Below are 5,296 nucleotides of genomic sequence, written 5' to 3' on the forward strand. Positions count from 1 at the left end.
CAAGTGTCTGGATAATTTTTCTTTAATACTGGTCCCCAGCGTCTCCAAATGGTATGTAGGAGAACCCAGGGTTCCACATGAACCTGGAAGGGGTTCACAGAAGTTTTGATAAAACAGTGACTGTGCAGAGGCCTAGGGACAAGACAAGGTAATCACAAAGGGTAGAGGCTTCACATCTTGAGGCAATGGCAGGGACCCCAGAGTCCAGCAGTGGGCCAGGCACGACTAGCCACACCTTGGCGGATACCAGCAGAGGGCATCAGAGACCAGACCAGCCTGAAGAAGACCTGCTCTCTGGAGAACTAATGTGCCCACTCTCAACCTCCCTCACTCCTGAGAGGCCGTCTTGGAAAGGAAGAGGGAAAAAAGGGCCCCCTTGAGAAATTTGAAAAAATCAGCACTGAGAAGGAATTTAACTTTGAATTGATTGAATATTTACCCCCAAAAGAATGAGTTAAACTGAAAGAGACTTTCCTAAAAGCAGAAGAGACTGAGGTTTAAGTTTTTTTTTTTAATTGTCTCTGCTACTGACTGGGAATGGGGCCCCATAGCAAGTTGGGATAGATAATGGAAAATAAGAAAGAGCTACATATTTTTTCTTTTTTTTGCACATCTGAGTTGTAATGTTTACATTTCAACCTCCCTGAGTGTAGACTGAGAAAACTGTACAACCCTTTGGAGCACGTCTGATGGTGGTTTGGAAAAGGCTTGGTAGCCTAATGAGAGTCCAGAGAGGATGATATGAGTTGGAAAGGATAAAGGTAGTCCTTTTCTTTTCCTGGGAGCCGAGGTTGGCTTTGCAAGGACTCCTGGGTTTCTGGTGGGCCTAGAGAGAAGACCAAAAGCCTGCTCGGCCAGCTAAAGGTACTGAGTGCCAAAGCTGGGGCAGTGGATGGCTGGGGTGAGGGTCCACAGGACGCTCAATGCCAGCAGAAGGGGACCTGTGGGGGTATGTCCAATACCTGTGGAAGAGGGGCCCCGATGGACACTCGTGACCACCGTCTCGTGGCATGAGGCAGCCAGAGGCAGGATGCTGCCAAGGCCAGAGACCAGCCAGGGAAAGAGACCAACTGAGAACAGACTACAGAGCTTCCCAGCAGTAGATGTCCACCCACTGCTCAGGGACCAGTACAGCCACCAGAAGCCCCTCTCCCATAAGTGTGAGGACCTGACTGAGCATTTACTCAAAAGAAATTGATTTCATTTGAAAGTGTAAACCTGAGATGGGCAGATCATGTTAATTGGCAAGTTTAATTCTATTTCCCACAGTTTAGTATAGTGACAAAGAGCATAAAGTCTTGAGTCAGATGACCTGCTCTTGAATTGGCACTGTTTGCTAGCTATGTGGTCTTGGGCAAATAACTTAAATCTCTGTCACTCGCTGCTCATCTTCTAAATGGGGATCCTGATAGTACTTCCTCCTAGGAAGTGTAAGGATTAAATGGTTAATATATCTCAAGCACTGAAAAGAGTGCCAGGACACACAGCAATCACTGTATAAAGGTTCGCTATAACAATTGCCCTACAGGATGTGGATTCACAAGGAAGCTGGAATCTGTTATAGAAACATTAAAAAAAAAAAAAGCTCCACATGTTTGCTCCATCTCATCCGTGGTGTGTAAATTTTGGACCCCATCATAGACAGATCCTTGGCTCCAATAGCATCACACCTAAGGCAGCGGCCCCAGGGGGTAGTATGTCAAAAGTCCTGCTTCATTCAGGAGGCTAAACTCAGAAACCTCAGCTTCTGAAGTCTGTCAATATGCACCCACACACCCCTCTTTAGAGTGATTTCTTTTAGCATTCAGGATGGTTTTCAACCCAGAGACAACAGGCTGCCCCCCTGCCTTGGTCTGACTGCCCGTTTTAGTTGCTATTCTTTTATCTCTCACAACTGGGTGAAGTTGCTCCCTGAATTTTTATAGCACTTCAGGAAGAGGCAGGCTATTGTTACAAGAAGAACGTTTAAGTATATTGTTCACTTTTTTTGAACAGAGATTGTCGATGTTATTTTTAAATTCTAAACCTTTGGGGGCAGTAAGAGTTTTAGGGGAACAAACTCTTTAATGCATAATGAGACTGGATCTGCGCTATTATAAAATGGGAGAGCCCTGGTGTCAATTGCCTGTGGTAGAGTGTGGCATTAACCAAACTAAGGTCAGGCTTCTATTTTAGCATGGGCTGAGGCTAACTGTACCCCCTGCTCCCTGGAGTCAGGCTCTCAGATGGCTGCCTATGGATTTGTTCAGGCATTTACTCATTGAGGAGGTAGTGGGGACAGGAGGAGAACTCACTATGCAACTACCATTTGCTGAGTGCTTGTCACATGCCAACATTGTACCGGGCACTCTGTATTAAATACTGCATTGGTTTCCTAGGACTGCTAGAACAAATCACCACAAACATAGTGGCTTAAAACAATATAAATTTATTATCTGATAGTTCTAGAATCTAGAAGTCTGAAAATAAGTTGTCAGCAGGGCCATGCTCCCTCCCAAGGCTCTAGAAGAAAAAGAAATCCCTTCTTTCCTCTTCCAGCTTCTGGTGGGTCCAGGTGTTCCTTGGCTTGTGGCTGCATTGCTCCAGTCTCTGCCTCTGTGACCACATTCCCGTCTCTTCTTCTTTGTGTCTTCTTCTGTCTTAGACACTCATTATTGGCTTTAGGCCCTATCTAGAAAATCCAGGATGATCTCATCTCAGGATGCTTAACTTAATTATATCTGCAAAACCCCCTTTTCCCAAATAATGTCACATTCACAGATTCTGAGTTTGGAACATAGATATATCTTTTGGAGGGTTCACCATTCAACCTACTGCCGATACCTCTGAAATTCTCACAAAGTCTGAAATCATCCATCATTATCTCAAAATTGAACTTCAAAAAGTTTTCTTCAGTTATTCAGGATTACACGTTTCGTAAGTGACAGAGCTGATTTAAATGCGGGATTGTCTGGTTTCAAAGATGTTGTTCTTTCTACTGTATGATACTAAAAACGACAACAATAATCAATGATCTTAGCTGGCATGTCCTGGATGCCTATGGATCAGGCACTATGCTGGTATTAAAAGTATTATTTCTAAAGTTTCTAATAATCCTACAGTAACGTCTTCTTATTCACAATTTATAGATGAGGAAACAGAGAGGCTCAGATGAGTTAAAAAGGCTCAAGGTCATACATATAATAAGCAGGAATTTGAAATCAAAGGGAAACCAAGTCAGATGACTTTAGAAAAATCTTCAAAGCACTGAGGAAACTGACAGATAGTAGGTTAGCAGCATTACTTTGGGCAGATGAAGAATTGGAAATGTCTCTTCGAAGGGCATTAAAAATTCCTGAAACATTTGGGATCAATTTAACCCTACCTGGTGCAGTGTGTTATGGGGCGATTTCCACACTGTAAGGGAAGCAGAGATTTGGGGCATTTGCATTTTTTTCTTTTTCCAGCCCTCAAGCCATTCTCTGTTGTCAGATCCAGTCCATGCCTTGACTTTGCCCATTTATAGAGGACTGTTTTGATGCTACAGAAAGCACGATCACTCTACTTTGAAAAGCATTTAAGCATTTTCAGAGCTCAGTCTCATTTCATTTTGCTCTTAGAACAGTCCCTGAGGTTGGTAGGGTGAGTATCATTATCCTCATTTACAGTCCAGGAGCCTGAGTTTCGAAGTGAGTTGTTACTATTTGCTTCACACAGAGGCAGAAGCAACTTGAAGCCTGACTATTTGAATGCAATTCTAATTCTTTTTCCAGAGCACCAAGCCTGTTTTAGATTAAGAAAAAAATTCCAAGAAAAAAAGGAAAAAATTGGCTACCATTAGCTTTAGGTAGGTAACACACACACATATTCTCTCTCTCTGTCTCTCTCTCTCTCCTGCTCTTTCTTTCTGTCTCTCTCTCTCTCTCTCTCACACACACACACACACACACACACACACACACACACAAAGTGATAAAAAGGTCTCCTTTCTCTTTTCAGTCTTGAGAATAAATGACTGCATTTCCCCACTGGTACTCAGAAGTGATTTGCAATTGAGAATTCTTTTTTAAGGGCAGAGGGCTCTTTTGTATGACCTTATTTTCCTTGTAGTTCCAAACAAGTGGGCTAAGCATGCTCTATTATGTCCAGACTGGTGTTTATAGTCTCATCTTCAGATGATAGATGTTACTTTATAATGCTAAACCTGATATTACACAATTCTCAACCCCTCTTCCAAAGACTGGGCTGCGTATGCCAAAACTTTATGATGACAAATCATAGAATTGGAAGGAAAGAAATGTGATACTCAAACTCTACTAACTCAGATAATATACAGAAATATCTGTAAGCCAGTGGTACTCAGTCTTCATTGTTGAGAGGGAGGCGATTTTCTAAATAATGTTACAGAGAAAAGAATTTAACCCAAGAGCATGATAGCCCACCAAAAGAATTCTTCTCTGACTGAAGTATGAAGGGTCCTTCTTTTCTCTTGAATCATTATCTCAACACAAATCTTCTGTGCCTCCTTAGACACTGTGGCCACTGTCCACTTCTAGGACCTTCAACTACTCAACCACCATACCTGCCCAACACAGTTCAACTGGCTGGGACTAATCAGGGACTTACCTTAGAAGTCCCCTTAACTCTCCACCCCTCAACCACACACACACACACACACACACACACACACACACACACTGCCAAGCCACCTAGTACTCACCTAGAGGTTCTGGCTCTTCCCCTCATTTCCAGGCTTGGATGAAACAGGAACACTATACATACATCAGGTTTGGGGTTTGGGGTCCCATGTAGTTGGAGCAGTCATATGATATAAACTTGGAAATGTGAAGGAGTTAATTCCTAGTGGGACAAGTTTTGACCAATGAAAAACAGGCAATGGGAGGTAGGTGGGAAGATAAACTTCTCCTTTATTCTTCCCAGAGAATGCTAGAGGCATGGTCCCTCCCTGCATCCACTGCAAGATGTCCCACATGCCAAGGGAACAGACCTGCTGAGCCTCCCATGCCTCATCAGCCAATGGCTCATCCCGAAGCAGAAGCCAGTTGTGCAAGGCATGACTGTGCATTGTTTCCTATACTCACTTCCCTTTTTTCCTTTTTCTGCAGCTTCCCTGGCCTGGGCTTGTGCTTCCCAAATAAAATGTCAGTACTTTAATCCTTGCTTCAGGCTTTTTTTTTTTTTTCCGCTAGAAAACTAAATGAGAGCACGCCTGATGGGTTGGTGTCCTCACTTCCAGTCACCGCCCCCTTTCCAATGGAATCCGACACTGAAGCATAAGTTGAATGTGGCATTTCCC

The 5,296-nt window shown here is 43.4% G+C and overlaps 1 long non-coding RNA gene across 1 annotated transcript, besides 2 other annotated features; it reads right to left on the minus strand.

The window, feature by feature from the left end:
* Positions 438-938: an enhancer, noted in NCBI's record as "H3K27ac hESC enhancer chr4:129487118-129487618 (GRCh37/hg19 assembly coordinates)". NCBI's record gives its function as "activates a minimal SCP1, AML or CMV promoter by ChIP-STARR-seq in primed H9 embryonic stem cells {active_cell/tissue: H9 hESC(primed)}" and the evidence as "EXISTENCE:reporter gene assay evidence [ECO:0000049][PMID:30033119]".
* Positions 939-1,439: an enhancer, noted in NCBI's record as "H3K27ac hESC enhancer chr4:129487619-129488119 (GRCh37/hg19 assembly coordinates)". NCBI's record gives its function as "activates a minimal SCP1, AML or CMV promoter by ChIP-STARR-seq in primed H9 embryonic stem cells {active_cell/tissue: H9 hESC(primed)}" and the evidence as "EXISTENCE:reporter gene assay evidence [ECO:0000049][PMID:30033119]".
* LINC03140 (long intergenic non-protein coding RNA 3140) lies at positions 2,408-5,018 on the minus strand. The gene is made up of 2 exons (XR_007058268.1): positions 4,700-5,018; positions 2,408-3,762 (listed from the first exon to the last, which is right to left on the minus strand). It is a non-coding gene; the product is annotated as a long intergenic non-protein coding RNA 3140 (long non-coding RNA).
* Between the last annotated feature and the right edge of the window lie 278 nt (positions 5,019-5,296).

The sequence above is a fragment of the Homo sapiens genome, chromosome 4 (assembly GCF_000001405.40).
Source record: "Homo sapiens chromosome 4, GRCh38.p14 Primary Assembly".
NCBI lineage: Eukaryota > Metazoa > Chordata > Mammalia > Primates > Hominidae > Homo > Homo sapiens.